The sequence below is a fragment of the Homo sapiens genome, chromosome 15 (genome assembly GCF_000001405.40).
Source record: "Homo sapiens chromosome 15, GRCh38.p14 Primary Assembly".
Taxonomy (NCBI): Eukaryota; Metazoa; Chordata; class Mammalia; order Primates; family Hominidae; genus Homo; species Homo sapiens.
Window position 1 is genome coordinate 42,298,294 of NC_000015.10, and position 19,179 is coordinate 42,317,472.

Here is a 19,179-nt window from a genome sequence, read left to right on the forward strand (position 1 = left end):
GGGAGGGTGGTATGTAACGAGGCTAGAAAGACACGCAGGGCAGTGCTGTGGAAAGATTTGTAATAATTATTTTATCTAACAATTATTTGTTAAGTACCTCCTATATCCCAGGCACTGTTCATGGAATTGGTGAGACATCATTGAAAAATATAAGTCCCCCATTTATCATGCAGCTTACCTTCTTCCAAGCCATGTTAACCTTTCTGAGTTTCTCCTAAGAGCAAAGGAAAACTCTGGAACGGTTCTAAGTAGCAGAGATGCATGGTCTTATTTCTATTTTTAAAAGATTATTTTGTTGAATTGTGAAGAATGGACACTCCAGAAATCTTCTCTCTCTTCATCCCCAATCACATGTATCTTCAAAAGAGCACTTTTCACAATATTGATTCTTCCTATCCATGAGGATGGAATGTTTTATCATTTGTGTTCTCGCTTATTTCCTTGAGCCGTGGTTTGTAGTTCTCCTTGAAGAGGCCCTTCACATCCCTTGTTAGCTGTATTCCTAGGTATTTTATTCCCTTTGTAGCAATTGTGAATGGGAGTTCATTCATGATTTGGCTCTCTGATTGTCTAGTGTGGATGTAAAGGCATGCTTGTGATTTTTGCACATTGATTTTGTATCCTCAGACTTTGCTGAAGTTGCTTATCAGTTTAAGGATTTTTTTGGGGCTGAGATGATGGGGTTTTCTAAATATAAAATCATGTCGTCTACAAACAGAGACAATTTGACTTCCTCTCTTCCTATTTGAATACTCTTTATTTCTTCCTCTTGCCTGATTGCCTTGGCCAGATCTTCCAATTACTATGTTGAATAGGAGTGGTGAGAGAGGACATCCTTGTCTTGTGCCAGTTTTCAAAGGGAATGCTTCTAGCTTTTGCCCATTCAGTGTGATATTGGCTGTGGGTTCGTCATAAGTAGCTCTTATTATTTTGAGATATGTTCCATCAATATGTAGTTTATTGAGAGTTTTTAACATGAAGGATGTTGAATTTTATCAAAGGCCTTTCCCGCATCTATTGAGATAATCATGTGGTTTTTGTCTTTGGTTCTGTTTATGTGATGGATTACGTTTATTGATTTGCATATGTTGAACCGGCCTTGCCCCAGAGATGAAGCTGACTTGATCGTGGTGGATAAATTTTTTGATGTGCTGCTGAATTCGGTTTGCCAGTATTTTATTGAGGATTTTCACATTGATGTTTATCAGGGATATTGGCCTGAAGTTTTCTTACTGCCCAAAATAATTTATAGATTCAATGCTATTCCCATCAAACTACCATTGACATTCTTCACAGAATTAGAAACAACTACCTTAAATTTCATATGGAATCAAAGAAGATCCCGTATAGCCAAGACAATCCTAAGCAAAAAGAACAGATCTGGAGGCATCACATTACCTGACTTCAAGCTATACTACAAGGCTACAGTAACCAAAACAGCATGGTGCTGGTACCAAAACAGACATATAGACCAGTGGAACAGAACAGAGACCTCAGAAATAACCAAATAACACCACACATCTACAACCATCTGATCTTCGAGAAACCTGACAAAAACAAGCAATGTGGAAAGGATCTCCTATTCAATAAATGGTGCTGAGAGAACTGGCTAGCCATATGCAGAAAACTGAAACTGGATCCCTTCCATATGCCTTATACAAAAATTAACTCAAGATGAATTAAAGACTTAAATGTAAAACCCAAAACCATAAAAACCCTAGAAGAAAACCTAGACAATACCATTCAGGACATAGGCGTGGGCAAAGACTTCGTGATGAAAGCGCCAAAAGCAAATGCAATAAAAACCAAAATTGACAGATGGGATCTAATTAAACTAAAGAGCTTCTGCACAGCAACAGAAACGATCATCAGAGTAAACAGGCAACCTACAGAATGGGTGAAAATTTTTGCAATCTACCCTAAGTGCTAATATCCAGAATTTACAAGGAACCTAAGCAAATTTACAATAAAAAAACAACCCCATCAAAACATAGGCAAAGGATATGAACAGACACTTCTCAAAAGAAGACATTTATGTGGCCAACAAACATGAAAAAAAGCTCAACATCACTGATCATCAGAGAAATGCAAATCAAAACCACAATGAGATACCATCTCACACCAGTCAGAATGATGATTATTAAAAAGTCAAAAAACAATAGATGCTGGCGAGGCTTTGGAGAAATAGGAATGCTTTTACACTCTTGGTGGAAATGTAAATTAGTCCATTGTGGAAGATGGTATAGTGAGTCCTCAAGGGTCTAGAACCAGAAATACCATTTGGCCCAGCAGTCCCATTACTTGGTATATACCCAAAGGAATATAAATCATTCTACTATAAAGACACATGCACATGTATGTTTATTGCAGCACTATTTACAATAGCAAAGACATGAAACCAACCCAAGTGCCCATCAGTGATAGACTGGATAAAGAAAATATGGGACTGGGTGTGTGGCTCATGCCTGTAATCCCAGCACTTTAGGGGGCTGAGGCAGGTGGATCACCTGAGGTTGGGAGTTCAAGACCTGCCTGACCAACATGGAGAAACCCTGTCTGTACTAAAAATACAAAATTAGCTGGGCGTGGTAGTGCATGCCTGTAATCCCAGCTACTAGGGAGGCTGAAGCAGGAGAATCACATGAACCTGGGAGGTGGAGGTTGCAGTGAGCCAAGATGATGCCATTGCACTCCAGCCTGGGCAACAAGAGTGAAACTCCATCTCAAAAAAAAAAAAAGAAAGAAAGAAAGAAAATGTGGTATGCTGTGGCTGGCAAGATGGCTGAATAGGAACAGCTCCGGCCTGCAGCTGCCAGCAAGATCAACACAGAAGGCAGGTGATTTCTGAATTTCCAACTGAAGTGCCCTGACTCATCTCATTGGGACTGGTTAGAGAGTGGGTGCAGCCCATGGAGGGCGAGCCGAAGCAGGGTGGGGCATTGCCTCACCCGGGAAGCACAAGGGATCAGGGAACTCCCTCCCTTAGCCAAAGGAAACCATGAGAGACTGTGCTGTGAGGAATGGTGCATTCTGGCCCAGATACTACACTTCTCCCATGGTCTTGGTAACCCACAGACCAGGAGATTCCCTCAGGTGCCTACACCACCAGGGCTGCACAAAACTGGGTGGCTGTTTGGGCAGACACCGAGCTAGCTGCAGGGGTTTTTTTTTTTCATACCCCAGTGGCGCCTGGAACACCAGCGAGACAGAACTCTTCACTCCCCTGGAAAGGGGGCTGAAGCCAGGGAGCCAAGTGGTCTAGCTCAGTGGATCCCACCCCCACAGAACCCAGCAAGCTAAGATCCACTGAGTTGAAATTCTCACTGCCACCACAGCAGTCTGAAGTTGACCTGGGATGCTCAATCTTGGTGGGACGAGGGGCATCCGCCATCACTGAGGCTTGAGTAGGCGGTTTTCCCCTCACAGTCTAAACAGAGGCACCTGGAATTTTGAGCTGGGTGGAGCCCACCACAGTTTTGCAAAGCTGCTATAGCCAGACTGCCTCTCTAGATTCCTCCTCCCTGGGCAGGGCATCTCTGAAAGAAAGGCAGCAGCCCCAATCGGGCTTATAGATAAAACTCCCATCTCCCTGGGACAGAGCACCTGGGGGAAGGGACAACTGTGGGTGCAGCTTCAGCAGACTTAAACATTCGTGCCTGCCAGCTCTGAAGAGAGCAGCGGGTCTCCCAGCACAGTGCTCGAGCTCTGCTAAGGGACAGACTGCCTCCTCAAGTGGGTCCCTGACCCCCATGCCTCCTGACTAGGAGACACCTCCCAGCAGGGGTTGACAGACACCTCATACAGGAGAGCTCCGGCTGGCATCTTGCGGGTGCCCCTCTGGGACTAAGCTTCCAGAGGAAGGAACAGGCAGCAATCTTTGCTGTTCTGCAGCCTCTGCTGGTAATACTCAGTCAAACAGTGTCTGGAATGGACCTCCGGCAAACTTCAGCAGACGTGCAGCAGAGGGGCCTGACTGTTAGAACGAAAACTAACACGGAAAGGAATAGCATCAACATCAACAAAAAGGACGTCCACACAAAAACCCTATCCGAAGGTCACCAACATCGAAGAGCAAAGGTAGATAAATCCATGAAAGTAAGGAAAAACCAGCGCAAAAGGCTGAAAATTCCAAAAACCAGAACACCTCTTCTCCTCCAAACGATCACAGCTTCTCAACAGCAAGTGAACAAAATTGGACGGAGAATGAGTTTGACAAATTGACAGAAAGTAGGCTTCAGAAGGTGGGTAATAACAAACTCCTCCAAGCTAAAGGAGTATGTTCTAACCCAATGCAAGGAAGCTAAGAACCTTGAAAAAAGGTTAGAGGAATTGCTAACTAGAATAACCAGTTTAGAGAAGAACATAAATGACCTGATGGAGCTGAAAAACACAGCATGAGAACTTCATGAGGCATGCACAAGTATCAGTAGCCAAACTGATCAAGTGGAAGAAAGGATATCAGAGATTGAAGATCAACTTAATGGAATAAAGAGTGAAGACAAGATTAGAGAAAAAAAAATCAAAAGGAATGAACAAAGCCTCCAAGATATATGGGACTATGTGAAAAGGCCAAACCTACCTTTGATTGATACACCTGAAAATGACAGGGAGAATGGAACCAAGTTGGAAAACACTCTTCAGGATATTATCCAGGAGAATTTCCCCAACATGGCAAGACGGACCAACATTCAAATTCAGGAAATACAGAGAACACCACAAAGATACTACTCCTCAAGAAGAGCAATCCCAAGACAATCATCAGCCTGACCAAAGTTGAAATGAAGGAAAAAAATGTTAAGGGCAGCCATAGAGAAAGGTCAGGTTACCCACAAAGGGAAGCCCATCAGACTAACACCGGATCTCTCTGCAGAAGCCCTACAAGCCAGAAGAGAGTGGGGGCCAATATTCAACATTCTTAAAGAAAATAATTTTCAATCCAGAATTTCATATCCAGCCAAACTAAGCTTCATAAGCAAAGGAGAAAGAAAATCCTTTACAGACAAGCAAATGCTGAGAGATTTTGTCACCACCAGGCCTGCCTTGCAAGAGGTCCTGAAGGAAGCACTAAATATGGAAAGGAAAAATCAGCCCTAGCCACTGCAAAAACATACCAAATTGTAAAGACCATTGACACAATGAAGAAACTACATTAACTAATGGGCAAAATAACCAGCTAGTATCATAATGACAGGATCAAATTCACACATAACATTATTAACCTTAAATGTAAACGGGCTAAATATCCCAATTAAAAGACATAGACTGGCAAATTGGATAAAGAGTCAAGACCCACCAGTGTGCTGTGTTCAGGAGACCCATCTCACGTGCAGAGACACCCATAGGCTCAAAATAAAGGGAGGGAGGAATATTTACCAAGAAAAAAAAAAAAAAAGAAAGCAGGGGTTGAAATCTTAGTCTCTGATAAAACAGACTTTAAATCAACAAAGATCAAAAGAGACAAAAAAGGGCATTACATAATAGTAAAGGGATCAATGCAACAAGAAGAGCTAACTATCCTAAATATATATGCACCCAATACAGGAGCACCCAGATTCATAAAGCAAGTTCTTAGAGACCTACAAAGAGACTTAGACTTCCACACAATAATAGTGGGAGACTTTAACACCCCATTGTCAATATTAGACAGATTAACGAGACAGAAAATTAACAAGGATACTCAGGACTTGAACTCAGCACTGGACCAAGCAGACCTAATAAACATCTGCAGAACTCTCCACCCTAAATCAATAGAATGTACATTCTTCTCAGCACCGCATCGCACTTACTCTAAAATTGACCATGTAATTGGAAGTAAAACACTCCTCAGCAAATGGAAAATAACGGAAATCATAACAAACAGTTTTTCAGACCACAGTGCAATCAAATTGGAACTCAGGATTAAGAAACCTCAGTCAAAACTGCACAACTACATGGAAACTGAACAACCTGCTCCTGAATGACTACTGGGTAAATGACGAAATGAAGGCAGAAATAAACAAGTTCTTTGAAACCAATGAGAACAAAAACGCAATGTACCAGAATCTCTGGGACACAGCCAAAGCAGTGTTTAGAGGGAAATTTGTAGCATTAAATGCCCATGGAATACAACTTACAAGGGATGTAAAGGACCTCTTCAAGGAGAACTACAAACCACTGCTTAAGGAAATAAGAGAGGACACAAACAAATGGAAACATTCCATGCTCATGGATAGTAAGAATCAATATTGTGAAAATGGCTGTACTGCCCAAAGTGATTTATAGATTCAATGCTATCCCCATCAAGCTACCATTGACTTTCTTCACAAAATTAGAAAAAACTACTTTAAATTTCACAGGGAACCAAAAAAGAGTCCATATAGCCAAGACAATCCTAAGCAGAAAGAACAAAGCTGGAGTTATCACTCTACCTGACTTCAAATTATACTACAAGGATACAGTAACCAAAACAGCATGGTACTGGTACCAAAACAGATATGTAGACCAATGGAACAGAACAGAGGCCTCAGAAATAATGCCACACATCTACAACCACCTGATCTTTGACAACCTGACAAAAGCAATGGGGAAAGGATTTCCTATTTAATAAATGGTGCTGGGAAAACTGTCTAGCCATGTGCAGAAAACTGAAACTGGACCCCTTCCTTACACCTTATACAAAAATTAACTCAAGATGAATTAAAGACTTAAACATAAGATCTAAAACCTTAAAAACCCTAGAAGAAAACGTAGGCAATACCATTCAGGACATAAGAAATGGAAAAGACTTCATGACTAAAACATCAAAAGTAATAGCAACAAAAGCCAAAATTGACAAATGGGATCTGATTAAACTGAGGAGCTTCTGCACAGCGAAAGAAACTATCATCAGAGTGAACAAGCAACCTACAGAATGGGAGAAAATTTTTGCAATCTGTCCATCTGATAAAGGCCTAATATCCAGAATCTACAAGGAACTTAAAATTACAAGAAAAAAACAACCCCATCAAAAAGTGGACAAAGGTTATGAACAGACACCTCTGAAAAGAAGACATTTATGTGGCCAACAAACAAAAAAAGCTCATCATCACTGGTCATTAGAGAAATGCAAATCAAAACCACAATGAGATACCATCTCACACCAGTTAGAATGGCAGTGATTAAAAAGTCAGGAAACAACAGATGCTGGAGAGGATGTGGAGAAATATGAATGCTTTTACACTGTTGGTGGGAGTGTAAATTAGTTCAACCATTGTGGAAGACTGTGGTGATTCCTCAAGGATCTAGAACCAGAAATACCATCGGACCCAGCCATCCCATTACTGGGTATATTTCTAAAGAATTATAAATCATTCTATAAAGACACATTCACACATATGTTTATTGCAGCACTGTTCACATTAGCAAAGACTTGGAACCAACTCAAATGCCTATCAGTGATAGACTGGATAAAGAAAATGTGGCACATACACACCATGAAATACTATGCAGCCATAAAAAAGAATGAGTTCATGTCCTTTGCAGAGACATGGATGAAGCTAGAAACCATCATTCTCAGCAAACTAACACAGGAACAGAAAACCAAACACCACATGTTCTCACTCATAAGTGGGAGTTGAACAATGAGAACACATGGACACAGGGAGGGGAACATCACACACCGGGGTCTGTTGGGGGATGGGGGGCTAGGGGAGAGATAGCATTAGGAGTAATACCTAATGTAGATGATGGGTTGATGGGTGCAGCAAACCACCATGTCTATTTTTTTTTTTTTTGAGACAGAGTCTCGCTGTGTCGCCCAGGCTGGAGTGCAGTGGTGTGATACTGGCTCACTGCAACCTCCGCCTCCCAGGTTCAAGCAATTATTCTGCCTCAGCCTCCTGAGTAGCTGGGACTACAGGTGCCAGCCACCACACCCGGCTAATTTTTGTATTTTTAGTAGTTCAATAGTTGCACAGCAATGTGAATGTACTTAAAGCCACTGAACCTGAACTTTATACTTGAAAATAGTTAAAATGGTAAATTTTATGTTGTGTATATTTTACCACAATAAAAAACATATTTATGTCAGCTATGGCCCATAAAGATTATTACTGACATGTATATAGAACACAGATTTGATTTGTTAAAGGTACTGACGTCACACACTGGTCTTCTAAAAGATGAACTCACTTTCTCAGTCTTTTAAAAAAATAATCCAAATAAAATGAGCTATTGTGGTAAACACATTTGTTGCAATTTGTAAACTCAGTTTGCTCCCTTTTTTGTACCAACAGGAAAATCAAGAAGATCTGGGCCTGTGGGAAGAGAAATTTGGAAAATTTGTGGATATCAAAGCTAATGGTAAAATTGAAACTGGTATAGTATTAAAACAGATCATTCTAAAAATGTCTACATAATTCTATCAAAAAGCCCCTTGATCTCTGGCACCTAAAACAGGTGACTTTAACAGAAGAACAGAAATCCCAGATCAGATTTGCTATCCTTCAGTAATGCATTGCATCAGAGAAATAGCAATTATTTGCCTTTTGTAGGAAGTGTAAAAGAAATATAGGCCACACGGAGCTTATGGTCTCATACAGGGTCATGGGTCAGCACACTGCTTGCACTGTTCATCAGATAAGACAGCTACAAATTCCACATTAAATTTTTATGAGAGTGAAGTGATGAGAAACCCAAGTTCTAGAGCCACTCTGTTGCAACATTTCAAGCCAATGGTTCTCAACCTTTTCTAGGCCTCCCCATCATTCACATGGGTATCACATGCCCATCTGTCACATTTCTCACCAGGCTTAGTGATGGAATTAGGGTAGAGGGGCGAGTTTGTCTCTTTAGGAGATATCTTTCAGGTACTTGGGGCTTATGCAGTTAGAAAAATACTCACTTTCCTCTTTCCTCCTCCCTATTCTGTAGAATAACAAACCCTTTCTAACACCTTTAAAATTCCCATTCTAGCCATCATTATCTATAGCATAGTATAATGATGAGGGCTGACAGAATGCCCCAAATTAAAAGTGGGGGCATGGGTTCTCAGGCCCTCCTTTCTGTAACATCATCATCTTTTTATCTTTTTTTTTTTTTTGAGGCAGGTTCTCACTCTGTCACCCAGGCTGGAGTGCAGTGGCATGATCATGGCTTACTGCACCCTTGAACTCCTGGCCTTGAGTGATGCACCTGCCTCGGCCTCCCAAAGTGCTGGGATTACAGGCATGAGCCACCATACCCGGCCATGTCATAATCTTTTTCACCTTCTCTGTAGCATCCCTTTTCCACAAGCTCCTACAAATAAGGACCATTTGATGTCAAATACTTTAACCTAAGCATAAATTAAAGTCCACGTTATACCTCCTAGTCATTTGCATTTTTCCCATAGCTCTAAAATAATTGTTAAAGACTTCGTCTTTGGTTAAAGGAAATTTATATAATCACAGAGGAGGAGTATTTTGAGGAACCAGTTATGGCCCTCCTGGTGCCCTTGACATTTGCATTCCCTGTAGGTAGTCACAGACGAGGCTGGCAGTAAGAATGATCAGGCACAAGACAATCAGTCATTTCATCTAGTGTAGACTGAAAGTGCACAATATCCTTTGCTTCCTAAAGCAAAGAAATATGTGATAAGGAAAATTTCGATTAGGAAAAAATCTAAAACTTTGTAATGATGTTTTATATAGAGACGAGATTTACTGTGAAGAGGACACAGAGAGCTTCATCACACAGCTAAGGCAACAGAACTAATACATGACCAGAACTTTGCCTTACACATTTTTGTATCCCCACAACACCTGAATATAATATCTCACAGAGGGTCAGTACACAGCATTTGCTAATTGATCTAGGTGAGCCCAGGTCTCTCAGCCTTTAGTCTAGTCATCTCTCTGCACTCAGAATTAACTGAATCTCCTTAAGTGAGTGTTCTTTTCAGAAACAAAACTCAGTATCCTGGTCTCTACAGGCCCTTCTTCTATTGGTTTGGATTTCTCCTTGCATGGATTTGAGCATCTTTATGGGATCCCACAACATGCAGAATCACACCAACTTAAAAATACTGGGTAAGTGAAAACAAGAATTCTTATGGGAGTCTCTGGTTTTTGTATTGAGATGATCTGAAAACATTTGTGAGCTGTCTGAGCCAGTGCTAATATGTGCCAGGCCTTTTCCTCCTTTATATTGCTTGTGGATCTTTAAGAACCCTCCTTGAATGATCACTCAGAGCAGTGGTTTTCCTTTTTTTTGAGACAGAGTCTTGCTCTGTCGCCCAGGCTGGAGTGCAGTGGCACAATCTTGGCTCACTGCAAGCTCCACCTCCAGAGTTCAAGAGATTCTCCTGCCTCAGCCTCCTGAGTAGCTGAGACTACAGGCACCTGTCACCACGCCTGGCTAATTTATTTTGTATTTTTAGTAGAGACAGGGTTTTACCATGTTGGCCAGGCTGGTCTTGAACTCCTGACCTTGTGATTCACCCACCTCAGCATCCCAAAGTGCTGGTATTACAGCAGTGAGCCACCGTGCCTGGCCGGTTTTCCAGTTTTATTTATTTTTTTAATGGAAAAATTAGATAACTGTAAAAACTATAATACTGAACCTAGAAATATAGAGGAAGTAAAATTATGGAGCTGCTGTGATCAGAATAGAGGGAAGATCTTTATCCTCGGGTTTCACTTTTACCTCTCAAGACCTTTTGTGGAGCCTTGGGAGAATATATTGTGAAAAATCACTGACCCAGAAAAAGGCTTTTACCAAAATGGGAGAGTGAGCCAGAGAATGGAAAAATGTGGTATCTCATATCACCTTTAGTTTCCTCAGGGATATCATGTCAGGCTAACACTATTGACAAATAGATGCCCGAGGCATCAGACTAAGAGGAAACAAAACCAAAGAGAAACAGAGTCTGATAAGATTGCCAGGTTCAGGTGCTGTTTACTTTCAGGTAGGCACAGTGGCAAGTCCAGCAGAAACTGTGCTGCTCTCACACTGATTTCAGCTCTGTGCTCCCACCCCCAATTCAGTTCCCCATCTTCCCCTGCTAAGCACTGTGGAAGCCTGTTGGACACAATTTTTTTTTTTTTTTGAGACAGAGTCTCGCACTGTCGCCCAGGCTGGAGTGCGGTGGCGTGATCTCGGCTCACTGCAACCTCTGCCTCCCAGGTTCAAGCGATTCTCCTGCCTCAGCCTCCCTAGTAGCTGAGACTACAGGTATGCGCCACTACGCCCAGCTAATTTTTGTATTTTTAATAGCGTCAGGCTTTCACAGTGTTGGCCAGGATGGTCTCGATCTCTTGACCTCATGATCCACCTGCTTCGGCCTCCCAAAATGCTGGGATTACAGGCGTGAGCCACCGGCACCCAGCCTGGACACAATTCTTTTAACCGCAGAGAAGTACTCACAAAATTCATCAGTGGGTACTTGCTGTGTGCTTGCTATTGTGGAGTATTCATAGGAGAGAGTCCTCCACTCAAAGGATATTTAGGCTGGGCACAGTGGCTCATACCTGTAATCCCAGCACTTTGGGAGGCCGAGGTGGGTAGATCACTTGAGGTCAGGAGTTTGAGACCAGCCTGGCCAACATGGTGAAACCGCATCTCTACCAAAAAATACAAAAATTAACTGGGTGTAGTGGCACGCACCTGTATTCCCCGCTACTTGGGAGGCTGAGGTGGGAGAACTGCTGACCCTGGAAGGTAGAGTTTGCAGTGAGCCAAGATCGCACCACTGCACTCCACCCTGGGTGACAGAGTGAGACCCTATCTGGAAAAAAGAAAAAGGAGATATTTAGAAAAGATGTCTAAGATGTGATCGTATGTGCTAATGTCACAGGAAGTGGTGCCAAAGGAGTCAAGGGAAGAGGACCACGTTCACCTAAGTTGGGTCAGGAAATCTTTAGGGAAGTGGCAAGAGTTGAGCCTCCAAAGATGCGTGGGACCTAAGTGTTTAGAGAGAAGAGTAGAGCTGTTCTATTTATTAATATTAATAATATATTTGTGATGGTAATTGATGATAATCTTTGTGTTTCAGTGATGGAGATGCTTACCGTCTTTATAACCTGGATGTCTATGGATACCAAATATATGATAAAATGGGCATTTATGGTTCAGTACCTTATCTCCTGGCCCACAAACTGGGCAGAACTATAGGTATTTTCTGGCTGAATGCCTCGGAAACACTGGTGGAGATCAATACAGAGCCTGCAGTAGAGGTGAGCTATTTATCATGGCTACATGTCATACTTAAAGAAGAAACAAAACCACTGCAGTGGAGTTATAGCTCTTATCTTTGTATTGGCACTTCTCTGCCAACAAAAGCTTTACAGTGTAATCAGTGAATATCAGTAGTATCTACTAAAGGATCAGACTGTTACTTATATGTGGCTGGATGTTGCAGGTTAGAGGGAAATTTCTCAAATTTTTATTCCATTCTTTTTCCAGTACACACTGACCCAGATGGGCCCAGTTGCTGCTAAACAAAAGGTCAGATCTCGCACTCATGTGCACTGGATGTCAGAGAGTGGCATCATTGATGTTTTTCTGCTGACAGGACCTACACCTTCTGATGTCTTCAAACAGTACTCACACCTTACAGGTATTTGCACGAAGAAGTGCCAGTTTCTTGTTCTGTTACATATCCAATGTCCCATGTGTCATCACGGTAAGTTAATATTTGTTGTATACTATGTAGAGTTTATAACTTACCCAAGCATTTTAATTAGCAAGCATTTCTGTTCCCATCCTCATCCCATTCAGTTCAGTAAAACATTGCACTGGGTCTAGAATGCTCTACTGTCTAGTTCCTAATACTTGCCATCTGCTTTCCTTGAAGCTTTTAGCCCCTGGGCTATCTCTACCTTTATCTCAGATGACCAGTATCCCAACTTCAACTTTTCTATGTTTTCTTCTCCATTAAAATATGCAACTGGCTTTAGCATTAGAGCATTTTATTTTAAAAGAATGCAAGCTTTTCTCTAAGATCAGAAACAAGACAAGGCATTGCATTTTCACCACTATTATTCAACATTGTACTGGAATTTCTAGCCAGAGAAATTAGGCAAGAAAAATAAATAAAAGATATCAAAATTGGAAAAGAATAAATAAGATTATAGGAGATGATATGATCCTATATATAGAAAATCCCAAAGAATCCACAAAAAAATTACTAGAGGTAGTAAATTCAGCAAAGTTGCAGGGTACAAGATCAATATATTAATCCACTCTCACACTGCTAAGAAGAAATACCTGAAACTGGGCAATTTATAAAGAAAATAAGTTTAATTGGCTCATGGTCCTGCAGGCTGTACAGGAAACATGGCTGGGGAGGCCTCAGGAAACTTAACAATTATGATGGAAGGCAAAGGGGAAGCAGGCACATCTTACCTGGTCGGAGCAGGAGGAATAAAGAGAGGGAGGAGGTGCCACACACTTTTAAACAACCAGATCTTGTGAGAAATCACTATCACAAGAACAGCAAGGGAGAAATCCGCCTCCATGATCCAGTCATCTCCCACCAGGCTCCTCTTCCAACATTGGGGATTACAATTCGACGTGAGATTTGGGTGGGAACACAAATCCAAACCATATCAATCAATAACGAAAAAAAAAATTAGTTCTGTTTCTATATACCCGCAATGAACAATCCAAAAAAATTTAAGAAAACAGTTCCATTTACAATAATATCCAAAAGAATAAAATACCTAGGAATACACTTAACAAAGGAGGTGAAAGACTTGTACACTGAAAACTATAAAACATTCCTGATAGAAATTAAAGAATGCCTAAATAAATGGAAAGACATCCCATGTTCATAGGTTGGAAGGCAATGTTAAGATGGCAGTAATATAGAAAGTGATTCACAGATTCACTGCAATCCCTATCAAAATTCCAATGGCTTCTTTTGCAGAAATGGAAAAGCTGATCTTCCATAGAATTGCACAGGGACCTGAATAGCCAAAACAATCCTTAAAAAGAGAAACAAAGTTGAAAAATTTATACTTCTTATATGATTTGGCTGTTTCCCCACCCAAATCTCATCATGAATTCCCCTGTTGTGGGAGAGACCCGGTGGGAGGTAATTGAATCATGGGGGCAGATCTTTCTCGTACTGTTCTCGTGATAGTGAATGAGTCTCATGAGATGTGATGGTTATAAAAAGGGGAGTTTCCCTGCACAAGCACTCTCTTTGCCTGCTGCTATTCACAGAAGATGTGACATGCTCCTCCTTGCCTTCGGCCACAATTGTGAGGCTTCCCCAGACATGTAGAACTGTAAGTTCTACAATTAAACTTCTTTCTTTTGTAGATTGCCCAGTCTTGGGTATGTCTTAAGCAGAGTGAAAATCAAATACAACTTCTCAATTTCAAACTTACTTCAAAGCTATGGCAATCAAAAGAACATGCCACTGCCCAGGCACGGTGGCCCATGCCTGTAATCCTGCACTTTGGGAGGCTGAGGTGGGTGGATCACTTGAGGTCAGGAGTTTGAGACCAGCCTGACCAACATGGCGAAAACCTGTCTCTACTAAAAATACAAAAATTGGCCAGGCATGGTGGTGGGCTGTAATCCAGCTACTCGGGAGGCTGAGGCAGAAGAATCGATTGAACCCACAAGGCGAGGTGGAGGTTGCAGTGAGCCAAGATCATGCCACTGCACTCCAGCCTGGGTGACAAAGCAAGACTCCGTCTCAAAAAAAAAAAAAAAAAAGAACATGCTACTGGAATAAGGATAGACATACAGACCAGTGAAATAGAATTGAGAATCTAGAAGTAAACCCATACGCTTATGGCCACCCAAAACACTGGGATTACAGGCACAAGCCACAGTGCTTTGTCCATGTCACCATTATAATTTCAATAAAGGTTCATGACCATTCGATGAAGAAGAAATAGTCTCTTGAGCATATGGTGTGAGACAGTTGGATATCTACTTGCAAAAGAATGAAGTTGGACTCCTATATTCAAAAATATGTTATATGTGTATCATATACAAAAAAATAAAATGGTTCAACTATATAAGAGCTAAAACCATAAGACTCTCAGAAGAAAACAGGTAAATCTTCATGAACTTGGATTTGGCAGTGGATTCTTAGATATGACAACAAAATCGTGAGGAACAATGACAAGAAACACATGTTAGAATTCACTAACATTAAAAACTTTTGTGCATCAAAGAACATAAAGTGAAAAAGCAACCTACAGAATGGGAGAAAATGTTTGCAGATTGTATATCTGATATGGGTCTCTTATCCAGAATACATGAAGAACTGTCTACCACTGAGCAACAAAAAGACAGGCTGAGCACTGGGCCCATATCCCTCATGCTCGTCTGCCACTGAGGGCGCATGCAGCCTCTAGACCACAACCAAACAGTGACCCAGACTGCTACAGCCACCTTCTGGGCACCATATCACAGAGCAGGGACCCCAGGCTGTAGGGAAAGAGCTTGCAGGGCTCCTGGATAGAACTGTACTTTAGCAATGATAGGAAGGGGAACAGTGCTCCAACATCAGTTTCTGTTTATAATGGTGACATGGGCTGGGCACAGTGGCTCACGCCTGTAATCCCAGTGCTTTGGGAAGCCTCCAAAGTGCTTCCTTGAATTCAAGTAATCCTCTGCCTTGCTTCCCAGAGAAAGGCTGCAGTAAGCACTGTTCATGCTGCTGCTCTCCCGCCTAGACAACAGAGCGAGACCCTATCTCTAAAAACAACAGCAACAACAACAACAAAATTAATGTAATAGTGACATGGAAAAAATACAGCTGGATGCTTAAAATGAATTTGGACAGAGTAGCTCCAAAAGTTCTGTGACAGCCTACCTCTTTTACAGACATTGGAGAAAAATAGCTCTCAGTCTGAGGAAGATACTGAGAAAAGGAAAGAAGTTGAAAGCATCTTGAAGAAAAATTCAGATTGGATATGGGATTGGACAAGTTGGCCAGAAAATATTCCCCACAAGGAGTTCCTCTTTAAAGCACCTGAAGCACGTAGCTACCCAGCATGGAATTTAAAGCCTGATGAGGAAAGGGGGCATTTTCTCAGCAGAATTTCCAAAGGGTTTTGCTGCTGTCTCATCTGGTGGCCATGGGATTGGGGATCTATATTGGAAGGCATCTGACAACTTCTACCAGCACCTTTTGATGAATAATTTGAATCCAGCTTTGTGCGTATAGTGGGGATTTCTATCTGAGCTTGTGACACAGCTAACTCAGGAGCTGTTATGGTCCTTGGGTGGCTGTTTCACTTGTTTTTATTTGTTCTGTAAATACTGCTTTCCTAATTTAGTAAAATGAAAGAATAGACACTAAAATCACACTGACCTATACTTATACCTATAGAATCAGTTAATAAGGGTATCAGACTGATTAATATCTACTGTAACAATTTGGCAGTGAGTTTTCTTTGGATATTAGTATAAATATGTAAGTATCGTTTTAATATATTAGTCATGATATAGCATTTTAAAAATTATCTGTAACCTGAATTCTGTTAAAACACTTTATATTCCAAAAGAATGAATGACAGTGATATTAAAATCACTACATTAAAGGGTTTGCCCAGAATAAATATTGTGGCCTTACTTACACTACTGTGGAAAATATTATGTTTAATTTAAATAAATGCAGGTTGTCTACTAAGACTACACTTAACTATGGTAATTGTTCTTAATAAATAGAGAACAAGTTACAGCTACAAATGCCACCATACACTTCATACACCAAATTGTTCTCACTTTTGCAGCATAAGGACTTCAACCTCCAACTATTAGGTAATCAACTTGGATAATGTGTCTGTCAAAGGCACGTACTCAGTATCTTTTCCTCTTTATCACTCTGGATTGCTGAATTTAATCCTATCCTTTGTGCTCAACTTTTTTGTGCTGTTAAAATCAGCTTTATCCTAAGCATATCTGTATCTACTTTAAAAGATTGGAAATGGAAAAAAATAAATATTTGCCATATCCTTTAAAAAAAGAAAAGAAGCCATACTTTAAAAGACTAGAAATGGAAAATAAATAAATAAATCTTTACCAAATTCTTAAACAACAAAAAGATAAACAACCCAATTCTAAAATGAGCAAAGGATTTAAAGAGATAGTTCTCCAAAGAAGATAAATAAGTGAACAACAAACACATGAAAATATGCTCAGCATTGTTAGTCATTAGGAAAATGCAAATCAAAACCACAGTAAAATATCACTTCACACCCACTAGGATGGCTAAATCCAAAAAAATGGAAAAGCATAAGTGTTTACGAGGATGCAGAGAAATTGGAACATTGCTGGTGGAAATGTAAAATGGTTCAGCCATTGCAGAAAAGTTTGGCATTTCCTCAAAAAGTTAAACATAGAATTACCATATGACTCAGTATGATGGTTAATTTTATGTGTCAATTTGACTAGGTCGTGGTACCCAGGTATTCAAACACCAGTCTAGATGTCTCTGTGAAAGTATTTTTTAATGAGATTAACATTTAAGTCAGTAGACTTTGAGGAAAGCAGATTACTCTCCATAATGAGAGTGGGCCTCATCCAGTAGTTGAAGGCCTGGAGAAAAAGACTAAGGTCCCTGGGGAAAACAGAATGTCTCCAGCCTGCCTTCAGGCTCAAGCTGCAACATCAACTCCTCCCTGGTTTTCTAGTATGCCAGTATCTCCTGCAAAACTCAGACTTGCCAGCCCCTACAATCACACGAGCCAGTTACTTTAAATAAATAAGTATTTGTATCTCTCTCTGTGTATGTATACATATTTATAAGTATATAAATATATTCAATATAAATCCTATTAATTCTGTTTCTCTGAAAAACCCTGTGTTCTCTGAAGAACCCTAACTGATACACCCAGCAATTCTACTCCTAGATATATGCACAAGGGAATTGAAAGCAGGGACTCAACAGATACATGTATGCCAATGATCACTGTAGCATTATTCACAATTGTAGGGTCCAGCCCTATGGGGCTTAGTGGGTGTTGTCCCTATGTGCGGAGATGAGAGATTGTAAGAAATAAAGACACAAGACAAAGAGATAAAGAGAAAACAGCTGGGCCCAGGGGACCACTACCACCAAGACGCGGAGACTGGTAGTGGCCCTGAATGGCTGGGCGCGCTGATATTTATTGCATACAAGACAAGGGGGGCAGGGTAAGGAAGGTGAGTCGTCCAAGTGATTGATAAGGTCAAGCAAGTCACGTGATCATGGGACGGGGGCCCTTCCCTTTTAGGCAGCCAAAGCAGAGAGGGAAGGCAGCATTTTCTTCTATGCGTTTTCTTCTATGCACTTGTAAGAAAGATCAAGGACTTTAAGACTTTCACTATTTATTCTACCGCTATCTACTATGAACTTAAAAGAGAAACATGAAAGTGGACAAGGAACGTGACCATTGAAGCACAGCACTACAGGGAGGGGTTTAAGCCTCCAGATGACTGCTGGCAGGCCTGGATAATATCCAGCCTCCCACAGGAAGCTGGTGGAGCAGAGTGTTCCCTAACTCCTCCAAGGAAAGGAGACTCCCTTTCACTATCTGCTAATTAACGGGGCCTTCCCAGGTACTGGTGTTACCGCTTGACCAAGGAGCCCTCAAGCGGCCCTTATGCGGGCATGACAGAGGGCTCACCTCTTGCCTTCTAGGTCACTTCTCACAATGTCCCTTGAGTACCTGACCCTATACCCGCTGGTTATTCTAGGTTATATTAGTAATGCAACAAAGAGTAATATTAAAAGCTAATGATTAATAATGTTTACGCTAATGATTGATAATTGTCCATGATCATCTCTATATCTAATTTGTATTATAACTATTCTTTATTCTAACTATTTTCTTTATTATACTGCTACAGTTTGTGCCTTCAGTCTCTTGCCTCGGCACCTGGGTAATCCTTCGCCCACACATGATAGCCAAAAGGTAGAAACAATCCAAGTGCACATCAAAGATGAACACATAAACAAAATGTGGTATATACATGTAACAGAATATTATTCAGCTATAAAAAGAAATGAAGTTCTGATACATGCTGCAACATGGATGAACCTTGAAAATATGGAAAATGAAATAAGACACGAAAGGACAAGTATTATATAATCCACTTATATGAAGTAGCTATGATATGCAAATTTGTCAAGACAGAGATGAGAGGGGGCTGAGAGGTGTGAGTGTTAGGGAGTTACTGCTTAATGATTACAGAGTTTCTGCTTGGGGTGATGTAAAGGTTTTAGAAATAGTG

General features: G+C 40.9%; 1 protein-coding gene and 1 pseudogene across 4 annotated transcripts in view; both read left to right on the forward strand.

Annotated features, from left to right (window-relative positions):
- Positions 1–19,179, forward strand: part of GANC (glucosidase alpha, neutral C) — an 80,466-nt gene that overhangs the window by 25,093 nt on the left and 36,194 nt on the right. For 3 of the 4 annotated variants that reach the window (NM_198141.3, NM_001393928.1, NM_001393929.1), the window contains 4 exons: positions 8,253–8,319; positions 9,929–10,025; positions 11,990–12,170; positions 12,400–12,553. In NM_198141.3, the coding sequence (NP_937784.2) occupies positions 8,253–8,319; positions 9,929–10,025; positions 11,990–12,170; positions 12,400–12,553 (499 nt within the window). Of the gene's footprint in view, positions 1–8,252; positions 8,320–9,928; positions 10,026–11,989; positions 12,171–12,399; positions 12,554–15,786; positions 16,524–19,179 lie in introns of those variants that run through there. The other variant, NM_001301409.2, reaches the window with a different exon arrangement.
- BNIP3P5 (BCL2 interacting protein 3 pseudogene 5) lies at positions 15,694–16,386 on the forward strand (annotated as a pseudogene).